Below are 20,870 nucleotides of genomic sequence, written 5' to 3'. Positions count from 1 at the left end.
TTATTGAAGTAATTAAGTAATTACCTCCTCTCCTGGGGGTTGTTTCCAACTTTTTAATATAAGTAACAATGCAACAACAAAAAGAGGTAATTTTTTTCCCCTATACTCATGAATCATTTTCTTAAGATAAATTTCTAAGAGTGGGAGAACGCATCACTGCACTTGTGGGAGCAGGAGGAAATTTTAAAAAATGGCAGATTGGGCAAAATTTATCCAATAAAGGAGCTGGAAGGAAGTGCACGGTGTCAAGGGAACATGGTTGTTGAAGGAGCGCTTTCCCACCATCGTCACTAGGAGCTTTCCTTCCCATTTCACAAACAGATCCTACAGTGGGCTGAATGTTGGTTTCCCCCTCAAAAGATATGCCCACTCAGAATCTGTGAATGTGGCCTTATTTGGAAAAAGGGTCTGAGCAAATGGAATTAAGTGAAGGACCTCAAGATAAATCATCTTTGGATGGACTCTAAATCTGATGACAAGTTATTAGAAGAGCAGGGGAAACAAGACCGAGGCCCAGGGAAGAAGGCAAAGGAAGACAGAGGCAGAGCCAGGAGTGATGTGTCCACAACCAAGGAATCCAAGGCCCCCGGAAGCTGGGAGAGAGGCGTCGAGTGGTTTCTCCCTCAGTGCCTCCAGAAGAAACCAACCCTGCTGACAACTTTGTTTATTCTTTTTAAAAATTTTTTTAAATGTTTAGTTTTCATTTTTTTGGATACATATTAGGCATATATATTTATGGGTTATATGAGATATTTTGATACAAGCATAAAATGTGTAATAATCACATCAGGGTTTTTTCCATTTAAAGCTGTGCTATAGTGACTTTATGTGTATTTTTTCTATACAAGCATTTTTTAACTAATATTTATTTATTTATTTTTAATTTTTTATTTCCATAGATTTTTGGGGAACAGGTGGTACTTGGTTTCATTAGTAAGTTCTTTAGCGGTAATTTGTGAGATTTGGTGCACCCATCACTGGAGCAGTGTACAATGAACCCAATTTGTGGTCCCCAAAGTCCACTGTATCGTTCTCTTTTTCTTTCTTGAGGCGGAGTCTCGCTCTGTCGCCCAGGCTGGAGTGCAGTGGTGTGATCTCGGCTCACTGCAAGCTCCGCCTCCTGAGTTCAAGCAATTCTCCTGCCTCAGCCTCCCGAGTAGCTGGGACTACAGGTGCCCGCCACCATGCCCGGCTAATTTTTTTGTATTTTTAGTAGAGTTGGGGTTTCACCCTGTTAGCCAGGATGGTCTCGATCTCCTGACCTCGTGATGCACCTGCCTCGGCCTCCCAAAGTGCTGGGATTATAGGCGTGAGCCACCGTGCCTGGCCCACTGTATCATTCTTATGCCTTTGCATCCTCATAGCTTAGCTCCCACTTATGAGTGAGAACGTATGATATTTGGGTTTCAATTCTTGAGTTACTTCACTTAGAATAATGACCTCCAGTCTCATCCAGGTTGCTGTGAATGCCATTAATTCATTCCTTTTTATGGCTGAGTAGTATTCCATCATATATATATATATATATATATATATATATATATATATACACACACACACATATATACACACACACATATATATACCACATATATATACCACATATATATACTGTATATATATATGTGGTATATATATATACGGTATATATATGTGGTATATATATATATGGTGTATATATATGTGGTATATATATATATATACCACAGTTCCCTTGTCTACTTGTTGATTGATGGCCATTTGGTTACACATTTTTGCAACTGCAAATTGTGCTGTTATAAACATGCATGTGCAAGTATCTTTTTTGTATAATGACTTTTTTTTGTTTTTCGAGACAGAGTTTTACTCTTGTTGCCCAGGCTGGAGTGCAATGGCATGATCACAGCTCACTGCAGCCTCTGCCTCCCGAGTTCAAGTGGTTCTCCTGCCTCAGCCTCCCAATTAGCTGGGATTACAGGCATGTGCCACCATGCCCAGCTAATTTTGTATTTTTAGTAGAGATGGGGTTTCTCCATGTTGGTCAGGTTGGTCTTGAACTCCCGACCTCAGGTGATCCACCCGCCTTGGCCTCCCAAAGTGCGGGGATTACAGATGTGAGCCACCACTCCCATCCGTATAATGACTTCTTTTCCTCTGGGTAGATATCCAGGAGCGGAATTGCTGGATCAAATGGTAGATCTACTTTCAGTTCTTTTTTTTTGAGATGGAGTTTTGCTCTTGTTGCCCAGGCTGGAGTGCAATGGCGTGATCTCAGCTCACTGCAACCTCCTCCTGGATTCAAGTGATTCTCCTGCCTCAGCCTCCCAGTAGCTGGGATTACAGGACTGCGCCACCACAGTTGGCTGATTTTTTTGTTTTTTGTTTTAGTAGAGATGCGGTTTCTCCATGTTGGTCTCGAACTCTCAACCTCAGGTGATCCGCCTGCCTTGGCCTCCCAAAATTCTGGGATTACAAGCGTGAGCCACTGCGCCCGGCCTTACTTTTGTTCTTTAAGGAATCTCCACACTGTTTTCCATGGTTATATTAGTTTAGTATAACTATGTTTTCCATGGTTATACTAGTTTACATTCCCTCCACCTGCTGACAACCTGATTCGGATTTGTGGCCTCCTGACTTGTGAGAGAATACATTTTTGTTACCTGAAGGCATAAAGTTTGTGGAATTTTGTTCCGGCAGCCTCGGGACTCTCCTATAGTCCTCATCCCTGCAGCCCCTGCCAGAAGAATGCGGCCACCGCTACAGGTGCCAGCTGGACTCACCCTTGGGGCAGGCAAGATGCTTCCTGGTGATGAGTGCCCCACCCTTCGGAGGGAAACACTGGAGCCTGCAGGGCAGAGGACAAGCCTCAGGCCATCGGGGAGAGCAGAGCATGAAACGGGGTGGTGGCAGCCTCTGGCACGGTACTTGGGAAACTAAAATTAGACTATTTTCATATGCCACACACAAATGAATTCCGGGCGGATGGAGGCCAAAATGTGGGAAACAACACTTGAAAATATTTAGTAGAAAATGTAAGACAATATTTCCATAACCTTGGTATAGGGAGGCATTTCTTAAACAAGATGAGCCTTGAAGCTTGAAGCATTTGACTATATTAAAATTACAGAAAAAAAACCCCTGAACATCAAAGGGTACCATAAACAAGTAAAAAGACAAGCTCTAGACCAGCACAAAAGTCTAGCAATGCAAATTAGTAACCAGGATTTACAAAGAAGCCCTGCAAATCGATATGCATGATCAACTCTCAACTCCAACTGCAAAATGGGCAGATATGAATAGGGAATTGCCCAAAGCAGAAGCAATAAGATATGAAAAGATTTTCAATCTAGTCTGGGTGTGGTGAGATCATGCTTGTAATCCCAACACGTAGGAGGCTCAGACAGGAGGACTGCTTGAGCTCAGGAGTTTAAGACCAACCTGGGCAACACAGCAAGACCCTGTCTCTACAAAAACTTTTTTTTTTAAATTAAGTGGGCATGGTGGTGCGCGCCTGTGGTCCCAGCTGCTTGGAAGGTGGAGACAGGAGGATGGCTTGAGCCTGGGAGGTCGAGGCTGCAGGGAGCCATGATTGTGCTATTGCACTCCAGCCTGGGTGACAGATCAAGACCCTGTCTCAAAAACAAAAAATGATTCTCGACCTCACTAAAAAGTATTAGGGGGTACAAATTAAACGACAGTGATACTCCATTGCATCTTCATCAGATTGATAGAAAATAAAAAGTTTGACACAGCCAAAGACCGGTGAGAACTGGAGAGGCCTCGCTGGCAGATGGACATCAGCAGTGGAAGTACTTCCTTCACCTGGTCTTATGGACTGAACTGTGGCCCCCAAATTCAAATGGTGGAGATCTATCCCTCGGCACCTCAGAATGAGACCATATTTGGAAATAGGGCCTTGAAGAGGTAGTAATTAAGGTAAAATAAAGCCGTATGGGTGGGTTCTGATCCTGACATGTGTCCTAATAAGAAGAGGAATTAGGACACAGACACACAGAGGGAAGACCACGTGAAGACAGAGGGTGAAGGGGCCATCTGCAAGCCAGGGAGAGAGGCCTCAGGAGCAGCCAACCCTGCCCACATCGTATTATTATTATTATTTTTTTAAACAGAGTCCCACGCTGTTGCCCAGGCTGGAGTGCAGTGGCGTGATCTCGGCTCACTGCAACCTCTTCCTCCCGAGTTCTAGAGGTTCTTGTTCCTCAGCCTCCCGAGTAGCTGGGATTACAGGCTACTCAAGCACGCACCACCACGCCTGGCTAATTTTTGTATTTTTAGTAGAGACAGGGTTTCACCATGTTGGCCAGGGTGGTCTCAACTCCTTAGCCTCATGTGATCCACCTGCCTCGTCCTCCCAAAGTGCTGAGATTACAGGTGTGAGCCACCACGCCCAGCCCCCTGCCCACACCTTCGACCAAAACGGTGAGAAAAGAAATTTCCGGTGTTTAAGACACCTAGTCTGTGGTATTTTATTATGGCAGCTCTTGTCAACTAACACACCTTGTAAAGTTAACAATGTTCAAATAATCTTCCCTGCAATTTAGCTCTTACATATAAATGTTAGGCCTTTGTTACTCAAACTGTGATTCCTGAACTGGTAGCATCCACGTCAACTGCAAGCTCCTTAGAAATGCAGAATCTTGGCCCCACGCGGACCTCCTGAATTGGAGCCCGCATTTTAACTTTGACTTTTTGTTTAGTTTTGTTTGTTTTTGAGACTGAGATTCACTCTTTTCACCCAGCCTGGAGTGCAATGGCACCATCTCAGTTCACTGCAACCTCCGCCTCCCAGGTTCAAGTAATACTGCCTCAGTGTCCCAAGTAGCTGGATTTTACAGGTGCCTACCACCACACCAAGCTAATTTTTATACTTTTAGTAGAGGTGGGGTTTTGCCATGTTGGTTAGGCTGGTCTTGAACTCCTGACCTCAGGTGATCCACCCGCCTCGGCCTCCCAAAGTGCTGGGATTATAGGCGTGAGCCACCACGCACTTTTTTTTTTTTTTTTTTTTTTTTTTTTTTAAAAAGAGATGCGGTCTTGCTGTGTAGCCCGGGCTGCCAGGCTGGAGTGCAGTGGCTATTCACAGGTGTCATTGAGCTGTAAAGCCTCGAATTCCTTGGCTCAAATAATCTTCCCACCTCAACCTAACTTCGACTTTTAGCTAGTGATTCTTTTTCTCAAACTTTATTTATTTATTTACTTATTTTTTAATTCTTTGAGACAGAGTCTCACTCTGTCACCCCGGCTGGAGCGCAGTGCTGCGATCGATCTCGGCCCACTGCAACCTCCACTTCCTGCCTCAAGCCATCCTCCAGCCTCAGTCTCCCCAGGTAGCTGGGACCACAGGTGTGAGCCACCATGCCCAGTTCATTGTTGTATTTTTTATAGAGATGCGGTGTCACTATGTTGCACAAGCTAGTCTCAAACTCCTGAGCTCAAGGCGATCAGCCCACCTCACCTCCTAAGGATTACAGGTGCAAGCCACCACACCAGGCCTTTTCTCAAACTTTAATATTCACACACATCACCTGGGGGTCTTGTCAAAATGCAGATTCTGTCAAAGCACTATTCACAATAGCAAAGACATGCAATCAACCTAGATGCCCATCAACAGTGGACTAAATAAAGAAAATGTGGGCCTGGCGCGGTGACTCATGCCTGTAATCCCAACACTTTGGGAGGCCGAGGCGGGCAGATCACCTGAGGTCGGGAGTTTGAGACCAGCCTGACCAACATGGAGAAACCCTGTCTCTACTAAAAATACAAAATTAGCCGGGCGTGGTGGCACATGCCTGTAATCTCAGCTATTTGGGAGGCTGAGGCAGGAGAATTGCTTGAACCCGGGAGGCAGAGGTTGCAGTGAGCCGAGACGGTGCCATTGCACTCCAGCCTGGGTAATAAGAGCGAAACTCTGTCTCAAAAGAAAAAGAAAAAGAAAAAAAAAGAAAACGTGGTACACATGCACCATGGAATACTATGCCACCATAAAAAACAACAAAATCAGGCCCGGCGCGGTGGCTCACACCTGTAATCCCAGCACTTTGGGAGACCAAGGTGGGCAGATCACGAGGTCGGGAGATGGAGACCATCCTGGCTAACACGGTGAAACCCTGTCTCTACTAAAAATGCAAAAAATTAGCCGGGTGTGGTGGTGGGCATCTGTAGTCCCAGCTACTCGGGAGGCTGAGGCAGGAGAACGGCGTGAACCCGGGAGGCGGAGCTTGCAGTGAGCCGAGATTGCACCACTGCACTCCAGCCTGGGCGACAGAGGGAGACTCCATCTCAAAAAAAAAAAAAAAAAAAAAAAAAAAGAACAAAATCATGTCCTTTACAGCAACATGGGTGGAGCTGGAGGCTATTATCCTAAGCGAAGTAATGCAGAAGTAGAAAACCAAATACTGCATGTTCTTATGAGTGGGAGCTAAACATTGAGTACACATGGACATAAGGAAGGAAACAACAGACACCAGTTCCTACTTGAGGGTGGAGGGTGGGAGAAGGGTGAGGATTGAAAAACTACCTGTCACTTATTATGCTAATTACCTGAGTGACAAAAATCATCTGTACACCAAACCTCCAAGACACAAAATTTACCCATGTAACAAACTTGCACATGTACCCCTTGAACCTAAAATAAAAGTTACAAAGAAGTCCGGGTGTGGTGGCTCACGCCTGTAATCCCAGCACTTTGGGAGGCTGAGGCGGGCAGATTGCCTGCAGTCAGGAGTTCAAGACCAGCCTGGCCAACACGGCGAAACCCCGTCTCTACTAAAAAATACAAAAATTAGCCAGGTGTAGTGGCGCACACTATAGTTCCAGCTATTCAGGAGGCTGAGGTAGGAGAATCGCTTGAACCTGGGAGGCGGAGGTTGCAGTGAGCCAAGATTGTGCCACTGCACTCCAGCCTGGGCAACACGGTAAGACTCCATCTCTAAAAAAAAAAAAAAAATTGGAAGGAAAAAAAGAAATAAAACAAAATGCAGATTCTGGTCTGGAAGGTCTGGGGCGGGGCTGAGACTGGGCATTTCTCACAAGCTCCTGGGGCTGCTGCTGGTCTGAGAAACGTACTTGGAGGCACAAGGAACAAAGCCACCATCCTCCACCCAGCCCTGACTGCACGCTGTGACAGAGGACTGTACCTGGGCCTCCCAAAGGCTAATTAAATGAGACTCCCTGGGTTGGGGACTGGGCTTTGGCATTTTTTAAAAGCTCTCAGAAGATTCTAAAGTGCTGCTGAGATTGGGAAGTGCTGTCTTAGAGCTGTGAGTCACCTGGGAGGCCCCCAAAGCTCACAGGGGCTCGGGCATCTTGGGGCAGACTACGACATGGCCATTGTAGTTTCCTCTAGTTCCCAGATGAACCCATGTGCCCTCCCCGCTGCCACAACTTTTGAGAGCCACTCTAGAGCAGTGGTTCTCAAACTTGAGCTTGCATCAGAACCCCTGGAGGACCCCTGAAAACACAGATTGCCAGGCCCCGCCCAACAGTGTCAGCAGGTCTGAGCTGCAGCCTGGAAATGTGCTTTGCTAACAAAATCCTAGCTGCTGCTGCTGCTGCCGCCGGCCCGAGGACCACACTGTGGCAACAAGCTCTCGGATGCTGCTTGAATCAGTGCCCAAAGAGACTGTTTCAAATATTCACTGAAGCGTTTTTGAACGTTAAAAAATGAGAAATCATCCATGTGGCCATTGTTATGGGTTGAATGGTGTCCTCCCCACTAAAGATGTGGAAATCCTAAGCAGAGTATCTGTGAATGTGATCTTATTTGGAAACAGGGGGCTGGACGCAGTGGCTCATGCCTGTAATCCCAGCACTTTGGGAGACCGAGGCAGGCAGATCACCTGAGGTCAGGAGTTCGAGAAACATACAGTGCTAGGTGGTGAAACCCCACCTCTATTAAAAAAATTAAAAAATTAGCCAAGTGTGGTGGTGCGTGCCTATAATCCCAGCTACCCAGGAGGCTGAGGCAGGAGAATTGCTGGAACCCAGGAGGTGGAGGCTGCGGTGAGTTGAGATCCCACCACAGCACTCCAGCTTGGGTGACAGAGGGAGATTCCGTCTCAAAAAAAAAAAAAAAAAAAAAATTAGCCCAGCTTGGTGGCGGATGCCTGTAATTCCAGCTACTCAGAAGGCTGAAGTATGAGAATTGCTTGAACCCGGGAGGCGGAAGTTGCAGTGAGCTGAGATGGCACCACCGCACTCCAGCCTGGGCAACAGAGTGAAACTGTGTCTCAAAAAAAAATAATAAAAAAAAAATAGGCAATAGGGTATTTGGAGGTGATCAAGTTGAGTCATTAGGATAGGCCCCAATTCAATATGCCTGGTGTCCTTATGAAAAGGGAAATTTTGGACACAGAGACAGAAATGCATAGAAGGAAACGACTGACAGGCTCAGGGGGGATGCCATTTCCAGGCCAGGGAATGGCTGAGGCTACCTACTGGAACCCAGGGGAGGCGTGAAACAGATCCTCTCTCGCTGCCCGCAGAAAGAAGCAGTGCTGCCGGCACCTGACTGCAGTCTTCAGCCTCCGGAACTGCAAGGCAGCACGCCGTTGTTGCTCGGGCCACCCAGTGTGTGGTAGTCTGTTACGGTTGCCCTGGGAAACCAACACAGCCATCTCCCAATGAATGACTCGTTAATTATGGTCCAACCCACCCCATGGAATACCCTAGGACAGTGGAAGTGACCCACAGAGGCAACAGGCAGGGTGACCCAGGCAGGATGATACCACTTACATAATGCTCCATCTGGTTACTGCAAACATGAGCGAGTATTAACAATATAAAAACACGCACACAGGGAGGGGAACATCACACACCGGGGCCTATCGGGGGGTCGGGGGCTAGGGGAGGGATAGCAATAGGAGAAATACCTAACGTAGATGACAGGTTGATGCGTGCAGCAAACCACCATGGCACGTGTATACCTATGTAACAAACCTGCACGTTCTGCACAGGTACCTCAGAACGTAAAGTATAATAAAAATAAATAAATGAATAATTTAAACAAACAAAAACATGCACGGGAAGAGAAATACCAGGTTTTATCTGGAGAGTGGTGACACGTCCCTTGAGAGAGAAAACCTGGATGTAAAAGAACCCCTTGAAATCAGGGGTTTCCGCTGTATTCTATAATGTTGTGTTTCTTGGAAAGGATTGAAAAGAATTAGATAGAATTCATTTGATTAACAAATACTATTTCAGTGCTTACTGAGTTGGGGCAGGGCTTAGCCCCATGCACAATTGCATCCAAGAATCCAGGGTTTTGCTCTGTTGCCCAGGCTGGAGTGTAGTGATGTGATCACAGCTTACTGCAGCCTTGACACTCCCCCACCACTTTCCCGCCCCCCACCCCCACCCCGCCACTTCCCTGCCTCCCCCCCGCCCTCCCTCCCCCCGACCCAAGTACCTAGACTCCTGGGTTCAAACAACCCTCCTGCCTGGGTCTCCCAAAATGCTGAGATGACAGGCATAAGCAACTGTGCTGGGCCAGGAAATGCTTCTCAATTCAAGATCCCTCTCTAGGAACATACCACTGCCTTCTCCTCTCCAAACAATGTGTTTTTCCACACATAAGGTGAGTTTCAGAAAGCAGCAGTCTACTCACGTTTGCAAGCACACACACACACACACACACACACACACACACACTTCAAAAAGAACAACACAACAAAGCAATTTTCTCGCCGCACTTTTTTTTTTTCCGTAAAGAAGCAGACAATTCAGATCCCTCTTTCGCATCATGGTAATAGAAAAGAACAAAAACACACCAAAGAAAGAAGCCGACAGCAAGACAACCAGGCATTTCCACTGAACAAGACATGCAAATCCCGGAACCTGCAGACCCTGAAGGCCCATGAGGAAATGCAAAGAATAAACAAACTCATGGGAAATCATTCAATGAGCGTGGCCAGGATCCCCACCCCCACGTATACCAGGAGAACCAGGGCAGGGTTGCTTCTCGGGAGCTGAAGTGGGCTCTGAGGGTCCCTGCCTGAGCTGTCAGCTCAGAAAGCCAAGAAAGAGGCAAGCCCTGGAAAAACTGCACTTGCTCTATGGAGCAAGTCACCGTCAGAGGCCAGGAGGCTGGGGTGTGGGTATGAGACCAGGCAGAAGGAGGTTGGCCAGGGGATCCCCCGTGATGGTCTCAGAGACAGACCATTTGTGAGTGCCCAGCAATGAGGCAGTAGACTAGCAATGAAACTGAGATTTAAGCACCATTTTATTCTATTTGTAATTTCTTTCTTTTTTTTTCCTGTTTATTTTTTTTTGAGACAGTCTCACTCTGCTGCCCAGACTGGAGTGCAGCAGCGCAATCTCAGCTCACTGCAACCTCCACCTCCCAGGTCCAAGCGACTCTCCTGCCTCAGCCTCCCAAGTAGCTGGGACTACAGGCATGCACCACCAGACCTGGCTAATTTTTTGTATTTTCAGTAGAGATGGGGTTTCACCATATTGCCTAGACTGGTCTCGAACTCCTAAGCTCAAGCCGTCTGCCTGCCTCTGCCTCCCACATCTATTTGCAATGTTTTGAATAACACCCAAGGCCAAGAAGATGCAGTGGAACTGGACGATGAAATTTACATGCAAGCAGGAGCTGAACCATCCTTTAATTCACTCAGCGTCTGTTTAGTGAGCACCTACCATGTGCCAGCCTGATGCCAGGCACGAGGAAGCTGTGTGATGAAGGGCTCACATGGTGTCCATGTGTGGGGCATCCGGGTCCCTGGCATTTGGCAGCCTCTGATTTGCCACTTGTGTTTAGCAGCCGTGGGTACAAAGTAGGGGGCCCAGAGTCTGTGCAGCTGCCCTTTAATCCAGTCGGCTCATTTACCACGCACAGCAAGTCTCTGGGCAGAGGCAGCATTATTTGCCTTTTACTAGGAAGACCAGCTTGTTCTGATTTGCCTGGGTCTTGCCTGGTTTTAGCACAGAAAGTCCCACATCCTGGGGACCCCCTTAAGCTGAGAAAACAGGGACAATTGGTCACTCTGCATTTTCCAGATGAGGAAACAAGGTTAGGGAGGTAAAGGGATTGGACCGAGGCTAATTTGCTGAGTAAGGGTTGAAAGCCAGGCCATTGGGTTTTGTAGTGGCCTAGGAGGGGAAGACAGACAAATCAAAGACCATGCGCCACCTCAAGGAAGCCCCCAGTGTGTTATTTTTGATGAAAGTAGCTGATGCTCAGTGCTGGTCAGGACTGGTGAGTGAGGCAGGACCAGGCGGACCCTGTGTCAGTATCGAGCTGACTGTCTCCTTGGAAAAGCAATTTGGCAACTCGTATTAATGCTGTGAAATTGTTCATACTCTTTGACTGAATAAGAGTATGCTTGGACACCTATTCTAATGAAATTATCCTTTTCTTTCTTGTCAAAAAGCTATCAGAGGCCAGGCGTGATGGCTCACACCTGCAATCCCAGCACTTTGGGAGGCTGAGGCAGGCGGATGACTTGAGGTTAGGAGTTCGAGACCAGCCTGGCCAACATGGTGAAACCCCATCTCCACTAAAAATATAAAAAAAATTGGCTGGGCGCGGTGGCTCACACCTGTAATCTCAGCACTTTGGGAGGCCAAGGCGGGCGGATCACAAGGTCAGGAGTTTGAGACCAGCCTGGCCAATATGGTGAAACCCCGTCTCTACTAAAAATACAAAAATTAGCCGGGTGTGGTGGTGGGTGCCGGTAGTCCCAGCTACTTGGGAGGCTGAGGCAGAAGAACCTCCAGGAAGCGGAGGTTGCAGTGAACTGAGATTGTTCTACTGCACTGCAGCCTGGGTGACAGAGCGAGACTCAGTCTCAAAAAAAAAATTATATATATATATATAAAAATTAGCCAGTCATGGTAGTGTGTGCCTATCATCCCAGCTACTCGGGAGGCTGAGGCAGGAGGATCACCTGAGCCCAGGAGGTAGAGGCTGCACTGAGCCAAGATGGTGCCACTGCACTCCAGCCTGGGCAACACGGCAAGACTCTGTCTCAAAAAAAAAAAAAAAAAAAAAAGCTATTTGGAAAGAAAATGTTCTCTGCAGCACTATCTGGAAGAGAAAAGAAATGTTAAGAGCCCAGGTAGGTCAATGGCTCCATACAGCATGAGCCCTCTGCCTCCATGATTACACAGCTATGAAAATGTCACTTTGATGACTGTGTAGCCACATGGAACACTCTTAGGATAGAAGCAGTATCTTATGGAACAGAAAAAGAATGATGCATGCCTTGGGTGCCTGCAACTTTGTAAAATGCTTCTGATTGAGGGCAAGGCTGGAACAGATTACGCTGAATGGGAGGTGTTGTGGGAATAAAGGAAGGTTTTTAGAAGTTATAAGTAGTGGCTGGGCCCAGTGGCCCTCACCTTCCAGCACCTTGGGAGGCTAAGGCAGGAGGATTGTTTGAACTCAGAAGTTTGAGACCAGCCTGAGCAATGTAGTGAGACCTCATCTCTACAAAAAAACTTTAAAATTAGCCAGTGTGGTTGCACACACCTGTGGTAGCAGGTGCACCCTGGAGGCTGAGGCAGGAGGATCGCAGTGAGCCGTGATCGTGCCACTGCACTCCAGCCTGGGCAACAGGAGAGACCACTTTGCCTCAATAATAATAATAACAATAATAATAATAATAATAAATAAAATAAAACTAGTTTTACATCCCATTATACTTTCTTTTAAAAAGCATGGAAGGAAAGCTAGGAATCCTAGGCTTCTGCATGTGGACAAAGATATCATTTGCAAAATGGTCTTGGCTGCACTGGTGGAAATAGTAAATGATTGGAAGCAACCTGAATTCCATCAAGAGAAGAATGTTTAAATAAAAAACTTATTCTTCCATACAGTGAGTGCTACTAAAAACAATGACGCCAGGCACAGTCGCTCATGCCTGTAATCCCAGCACTTTGGAAGGCTGAGGTGTGTGGATCACCTGAGGTCAAGAGCTCAAGACCAGCCTGGCCAACATGGAGAAACCCTGTCTCTACCAAAAATACAAAAATTAGCCGAGTGTGGTGGCACGCGCCTGTAGCCCCAGTTACTCAGCAGGCTGATGCAGGAGAATCGCTTGAACCTGGGAGAGGGAGGTTGCAATGAGCTGAGATCCTGCCACTGCACCCCAGCCTGGGCGACAGAGGGAGACTCCATCTCAAAAAAAAAAAAAAAGAAAAGAAAAACCCACAAATTTTTACAAATTAAAAATCAAACATAAAAAATAATGGTGGGACAGCAGATTCGCCTACCAAGAGCTAGGGGAATCTCATGTTAAAAAATGCTTTGATGTGCAATGACCAAAAAGAGGCTTTTGTGTTTAGCACACAAAAAAAAGCTGGTACACAGGAATTCCCAGGAACTTTCCAGCAGCAGTTGGGATTTTGGCAGGGATCACGCACGCCTGCCTGCCGGGGTGGGGGTGGGGATGGAGCCTGCATCCTCCACGCCTGCCACAGGCACCAGCACTGACCCTGAACTTGGTTTGCTTTCAGCCTGTGCCACAATCTGCTGGGTCTGGAAGGAAGAACAGGGATGGACCCGGCAGAGAGGAAGGGGCAGAGGAAAGGCTTTTCTAGGCAAAGCGAACCGCACATGCATAGGCAAAGAAATATGGGGGAAAGGAGGTATAGAATATCCAAGGAGTTACTGGCTGTGGCTGGGAGGGCAGCATAGTGGCAGCTGAAGAATGTGAACATCCTCCTGGCCACCTGCAGAGCCCTAGCCAGCCACTCACCATCTGCATGCTCTCCCCTCTAAAAGGCAGCACTACTGTGGTCTGCCTACAACCTCGAGCAGGTGCTCGGAAGCTCAAAAGAGGTGATGGGAATGTCTTATTAATTGCAACCCACTCCCAAAATATTTTTATTTTTATTTTTTTTGAGACAGTCTCGCTCTGTTGCCCAGGCTGGAGTGCAATGGTGTGATCTTGGCTAATGGCAACTTCTGACTCCTGGGTTCAAGTGATTCTTCTGCCTCAGCCTCCCGAGTAGCTGGGATTACAGGTGCACGCCACCACGCCCGGCTAATTTTTGTATTTTTAGTAGAGACGGGGTTTCACCATGTTGGCCATGCTGGTTTCGAACTCCTGACCTCAAGTGATCCACCTGCCTTGGCCTCCCAAAGTGCTGGAATTACAGGCGTGAGCCACCATGCCCGGCCTCAAAGGATTATTCTTGTTTGTTTGGTTCTTTAAGAGTTGAGATCTCACTCTGTTGCCCAGGCTGGAGTGCGGTGGTTCAAGTGATCCTCCCGGCTTAGTCTCCTGAGTAGCTGGGACTACAGGTGCGTGCCACCACGACTGGCTAATTTTGTTGCTGTTGTTTGTTTGTTTTTGTAAAGACAGGGTCTCACTGTGTTGCTCAGGCTGTTCTTGAACTGCTGGGCTCACACAATCTTCCTGTCTTGGCCTCCCAAAGTGCTGGAATTACAGGTGTGAGCCACTGTGCCTGGCCCAAGAGATTGTTTTTATTGTGATTGTTCTCGGAATCTTGTTGAGGTTTGATAAAGACACCGGATGTCATGGAGCTCATTTGATCCAAAAAACAGTTCTTTTTTTATTCATTCACTCAACAAATATTTACTGAGAGCCTACTATGTGCCAAGCCCTGCTCTATGTGTTGGGTTAGAGCTCACAGAGACACACATCAAATCGAAGAGATGAAATCACAAGTATATTAAGTGTTGCTAAATACTAAGGAGAAAACTTAAATGGAAATGGAGGACAGGAAGTGAGAGGTTGTAATCTGAGATTGGACTGGTTTCTATCATCCCCAAAGGCATCTCGCCTTTGAGGCACAAAAGTGCTCAAAAACACAGTTGTTGGATGAATCTTAAAGTATCAAAATCCCAGAAGACCTTGAAGATCATCTCCTTCCAAACATTCAGTTTACAGGTGGGAAACTGAGGCTCAGAGAGGCTAAAGTGTGGCTTGTAGACATTGAGTGACCCAGGAAGGAGATGCCTGGGCCCCCTGCTTCTCCCAATACCCCCTCTTGTTCCTCGTCTGTGGCAACCAATGCAGGGTGACTCCAGATCTGCTTGGGACTAGAAAGGAGCTGAAGTCAATAGAGCCAGATCCTGTCCTGGGTGAGCTGGACCAGGGCCAGCTCGGTGGTGGCCACTGGACATGGAGTCTCTTCTGGCCTCCAGCCGTGCCAGGTGCCCATAGCCTTGGCAGCAATGGCGAGGTGCAGAAGAGGAGGGTGGCCCACACGCATCTGTGCACGCACCTGCTCTGTTCCCTTCTATGCATCTGTAGTTGCTCGGCTCACACGGAGCTCAGCAAATGTCGGGGGATTGGGCATGTGATCGTGGGCTACAGGCCAGGCCCTAAGCTGGGTGCCCTAGGGAGGCAGTCAGGAGTGAGGAAAGCCTGAGCCCCGCCTGGGAGATGCTGATGTCAAAGGCTGGGAAACAGGTTCAAACATCACAGCTCACAGAGGAGACTGGGATGGGGAGAGCGGTTTTCGATGGTGGGGGAAGAGTTGCACTGAGATAGGCCTTGCAGGACAGGTAAGGTAGAGACAATGGGGGAAGGAGAGGTAAAGTCAGGGAGGCGGCTGTGCTCAGGAATCAGGGAGCAGGTCTGCAGAAGCCCGGGGGCTGTACATCCAAAAGGGCTGGATGATTGAAGACGCCGGTGGTGGTGTTGGGGGAAGGTGTGGGGTTTGAGTCTTTTAAGGAAAGTTGCTGGGGGTGTTGAGCGGGGCAGTCGCAGACTCTCTAGAGAATTTGAAGTGCTACATTGGTATCTGTGTCCCCTCTGTGACCTTGGGCATGTCACCTGACCTCTCTGAGCCTCAGTTTCCCCACCTGAAAAATGGGACTAAGAATAGTCCTACTTTCTGGGATGCCTGTGAGTGAGCCCAGCACGGGAAGTGGAGCCACTGCTAGGATTCATGTATTCGACATTTATTGAGCACCTACTGAATACCAGGCACTGAGGCTGAAGTGGGGGTTGATGGTGAAGGGTCAAGGCTCCTGGCTTCCCAGGGTAGGTGTGAGTACAAAGATGCACAGGGTAACCAGGTTCTCGGGTTCTGGAAGTAGGGTGAATAGGGCCGTGGTGGCAGGAAGGGATGTTTCCCCAGCCTGCAGGAGTCAGGGTGGGTTTTCTGGAAAAATGAATAATGCATGGAGACTTGAAGAAAGAGAAGCCTCCTAGATGAAAAGGAGAGGAAGGGTCCAGGCACCATGGCTCACGCCTGTAATCCCAGCACTCTGGGAGGCCGAGGCGGATGGATCACCTGAGCTCAGGAGTTCAAGACCAGCCTGGGCAACATGGTGAAACCCCGTCTCTACTAAAAATACAAAAAATTGGCTGGGTGTGGTGGCTCATGCCTGTAATCCCAGCACTTTGGGAGGCCGAGATGGATGGATCAGCTGAGGTCAGGAGTTCAAAACCAGCCTGGCCAATGTGGTGAAACCCCGTCTCTACTAAAAATACAAACATTAGCCAGGGGTGGCGGCACACACCTGTAATCCCAGCTACTGGGGAAGCTGAGGCATGAGAATTGCTTGAACCCAGGAGGCAGAGGTTACAGTGAGCTGAGATCGTGCCATGCACTCCAGCCTGAGCAACCAGAGTGAAACTCAAGAAAGAAAGAAAAAGAGAGAGAGAGAAAGAGAGAAGGGGAGAGAGAGAAGGAAGGAAGGAAGGAGGGAGGGAGGGAGGGAGGGAAGGAAGAAAGGAAGGAAGGAAGGTAGGAAAGAAAGAAAGGAAGGAAGGAAGGAAGAAAGAAAGAAAAAAGAATGAAAGAAAGAAAGAAAGAAAGAAAGAAAGAAAGAAAGAAAGAAAGAAAGAAAAGAACATGTGAAGGAAGACCTGGCAGGGTGGGGGCAGGACCTGACCCACTAGCCAGGTTGCTCTCCTGGAAACAGGGTTGTCCCTACTGGGGTTGGAAATTTGTCTCCATAACGTGTGAGTGTGGGAAGCACTGGCATTTGGTGGTGGCAGTGGGCAGGAAAGCTAGACAGACAGTCCCTGATGACAAGAATGGGCCCTCGGCCCCCAGGATGGGCTGCCGTCTCTCAGGACATTCACGTAGGCGAAAACCCTGCTTGAAATTATCTGTGTCTGGAATCTAACTTCACTTTACATAAAAAGGCCGTTTTTTCCTGCTCAGTTTTCATTGTCCCTGCATTTCCCAGGAGCACAACCACAGCGTAAATGGAGGTAAGGTTGTTCTTTGTTTCATTTGGACGTTAACCAAGAGTTGCTCACCATTTTGGAAAATCACGTCACTGAGAGCCTGCCAGCCTGTGATGTTTGAGTCACCCACAGGCACACCTGTGGCCATCTGTGCTGTGGCTGCAGCCTTCCTGGGGATTCCTGAGCAGGAGCAAGTGGCTTACTACTTCTTTATGTCTCTGGGGTAGAGGGGGTTCTAATGTCCCCACATACAATTTTATGTCAAATTAATTTCTTTTTAATCCTCCTTTATATTGTAAATAGGCATGATATTGATGTATCTGAAATCACATGTATAGCTAAATTATATACCAGGGAATTCAACTTCAAGACAGAAAGAAACATTCAAAATATTAGTTTTGACCAGGTACGGTGGCTCACGCCTATAATCCCAGCACTTTGGGAGGCCAAGGTGGGAGGATGGCTTGAGGCCAGGAGTTTGAGACCAGCCTGGGCAACATAGCAAGGACCCATCTCTGTGAAAAATACAAATATTAGCTGCGTATGGTGTCACGTGCCTGTAATCCCAGCTACTTGGGAGGCTGAGGCAGGACAATTACTTGAGCCTCGCAGTCTGAGGTTACAACGAGAGCTGTGATCGTGCCACTGCACTGCAGCCTGGGTGACAGTAACAGAGCAATATTTTCTATATATATTTTGGAAAAATATTATATTTTGGCAGGATGGGGGCCGGACATGACCCATATACATAATATATATATCTATATATATATATATTTTGGCTGGGCGCGGTGGCTCACACCTGTCATCCCAGCACTTTGGAAAGCCGAGGTGGGGGGATCACGAGGTCAGGAGATTGAGACCATCCTGGCTAACACTGTGAAACCCTGTCTCTACTAAAAATACAAAAAAAGACAGGCACGGTGGTGGGCGCCTGTAGTCCCAGCTACTCAGGAGGCTGAGGCAGGAGAATGGCATGAACCCGGGAGGCAGAGCTTGCAGTGAGCCAAGATCACACCACTGCACTCCAGCCTGGGCGACAGAGTGAGACTCCATCTCAAAAAAAAAAAAAAAGAGATATATATATATATACACACACATACACACACACACATATATATACACATATCTATACACACACATATGTATACACACACATATATATGCACATATATACACACACACACATACACATATATATACACACACACAGATATATATATATATCTGTATGTGTGTGTGTTTATGCAAGAAGCATTGGGTCTGAACGCTCGCAAGGCCCTGTATCAGGAGCCCAGGAATATGTTGTGTGAACCAGGGCTGAATGGAGCACTCAGCTTGCCCAGCAGCAGCTGGGGGCATGGCCATAAGCAGTCCAGATTCCAGGGAAATGAATCAGTAACCCGGGGATGAATCAGGAGACGGGAATTGCAAGTCATCCCACCTCCACAAGGTGGAAACTTAGCCAGCACCTTTACCCGGCGCTGACCCACCCGTATTCTCATAAGAATGTCTGACGGTGGAGACGCTGATCCTGAGAGGAACCTCAGGCACGCAGGTTCCAACCCGGAGTCAGGCTGGAAAAGTTGAGGCTCTTCAAAGAGACTACGACTTTGAACCTGGGTCCATGTAAGCTCCAGTCATCCTTCAAGGAATGTGACTAACGTCATCCATTGATGAGGGCAGGAAAATGTCAGATAAAAGACATTTTCTGATAAGTTAACAGGTTACTTTCACAGTATGCACATTCTAAAGCCCTTGTTTTCACAAAGAGAGAGGAATACCTTTTATGTTAATAATAAAAAGTAGTTTCCCTGTTTGATAAATGTGCAAATATTTAAGGCTGTGGAGAAATAGGGACACTTTTATACTGTTGGTGGGAGTGTAAATTATTTCAACCGTTGTGGAAGACAGTGTGGCGATTCCTCAAAGACCTAGAACCAGAAATACCATTTGACCCAGCAATCCGATTGCTGGGTATATACCCAAAGGAATATAAATCATTCTGTTATAAAGATTCATACATGAGTTTGTTCATTGCAGCACTATTCACAATAGCACAGACATGGAATCAATCCAAATGTCCATCAATGACAGACTGGATAAAGTAAATGTGGTACATTTACACCATGGAATACTATGCAGCCATAAAAAGGAAAGAGATCATGTCCTTTGCAGGAACATGGATGGAGCTGGAAGCCATTATCCTCAGCAAAGTAACACAGGAACAGAAAACCAAATACTACGTGTTCTTGCTTATAAGTGGGAGCTGAACATTGAGAACACATGGACACAGGGAGGGGAACAACACACACTGGGGCCTGTCAGCAGCGGGGTGTGAGGTGAGGGAAAGCATCAGGATAAATGGCTAATGCATGTGGGGGGCTCAATACCTAGGTGATGGGTTGATAAGTGCAGGAAACCACCATGGCACACGTTTACCTATGTAATAAACCTGAACATTCTGCGCATGTATCCCGGAACTTAAAATAAAATAAAATTTTAAAAAGTGGAATTTGGGGGTGTCACAGTTCCTGCCTGGGCCCCCCATGGTTGGGCTCTGGCTGTCACTCAGAGGGATGAGGCTGGAGTGCCAGGCCCCAGCCAGATCAGGAAAGGCCTCAGAACTCACATTAAGGAGCTTGAATTTCATCCCGAGTTTATTGGGAAATTGTTGGTGGATGTTAAGTAGGAAGTAATGTGATCAGATTTGCATTTTAGAAAAATCAGTCTGGCTGCAGAGTGGATGGTGGAAGGGAGCAGGGCAAGGCTGGAGCCAGGGAGGACAGTTAGGAGACTGCTGGGGCCATCAGGGTGTACGTGTGTGTTGGGGAGGGGGCAGTGGTGGTCTGAGTCATCCAGAGGGCATATTATGGTGGCATGGATCATTTGGAGGGGGGGGGTATGGTGATGGCTTGATTCATCTGGGATGGGGTGGGGTTTACAGTGGCCCCCATCTTCTGTGAGGCTGGGGGAAGAAGTAACTGTGACCTGGATTAATAACTGGGCAGTGGGGAAAAGAGCCATGTGCAACCTACCCTCTGTGGCCCGTGCCAGGCACGGCTCATGTAACCCTCCTAGCAAACCTCTAGGGTAGCTCCACTGTGATTACTGCCAGCATTTTACAGGCAACGGCACAGGTGCACAAAGGGCTTACCCTTGCCACGGTCACAGCGGCGGGACCCCGGCCTCAGCAGCGGGACACCAAAGTCTGAGCTCAGGCTCAGAGAGACGTCCCAGCACTGTTTCAGAGGCAGCACTGTGGGGTCTCAGGGCTGGATTCCGGCTCGGGGGCAGGGTAACTTGTGTCTGGGTGGACTGTTCATGGGCTGCCCACCCTCACATGTGGACAAAGAACTCAGTTCCTGCTGTTCAGCCCGGAGCCGCCACCTCAGACCTGCTCATGCTGCAAATGGAGGGAAGGTGGCCCTGACCTGGGTGGGTGCAGAGGCGGCGCAGCTTCCCCAAGGCAGGCATGGACCAGACCGAGCTCTGACGCTGAAGGTCATGGGCAGCCCCGAGTCAGGGCCATGAAGGGTGCGGGGGACCCGGCCCACCATGCCTCTCCACCATCGCCAGTGTCCAGCGATCCCTTCCGCACCGGACCTGCCTGGGAGGGGAGAGGACAGCGGCCGCTACCTTCTTCTTCGCCGCGGCCCTCGTGGGTTTGGGGCGCCCTCTGCTGGACGCTTTTATGGCCTGCGGTCTGATGCCAGGACGGCCTCAGGGGTTTGGTGACGGGACTGGGAG

At 48.0% G+C, this 20,870-nt stretch overlaps 1 annotated feature.

Moving 5' to 3' along the window:
• Positions 20,682-20,761: an enhancer, noted in NCBI's record as "active region_11179". NCBI's record gives its function as "activates an Ori minimal core promoter by ATAC-STARR-seq in GM12878 lymphoblastoid cells {active_cell/tissue: GM12878}" and the evidence as "EXISTENCE:reporter gene assay evidence [ECO:0000049][PMID:35858748]".

The sequence above is a fragment of the Homo sapiens genome, chromosome 16 (genome assembly GCF_000001405.40).
Source record: "Homo sapiens chromosome 16, GRCh38.p14 Primary Assembly".
Taxonomy (NCBI): domain Eukaryota; kingdom Metazoa; phylum Chordata; class Mammalia; order Primates; family Hominidae; genus Homo; species Homo sapiens.
Note: the sequence above shows the minus strand (reverse complement) of the source record. Positions and strands in the feature narration are given on the sequence as shown.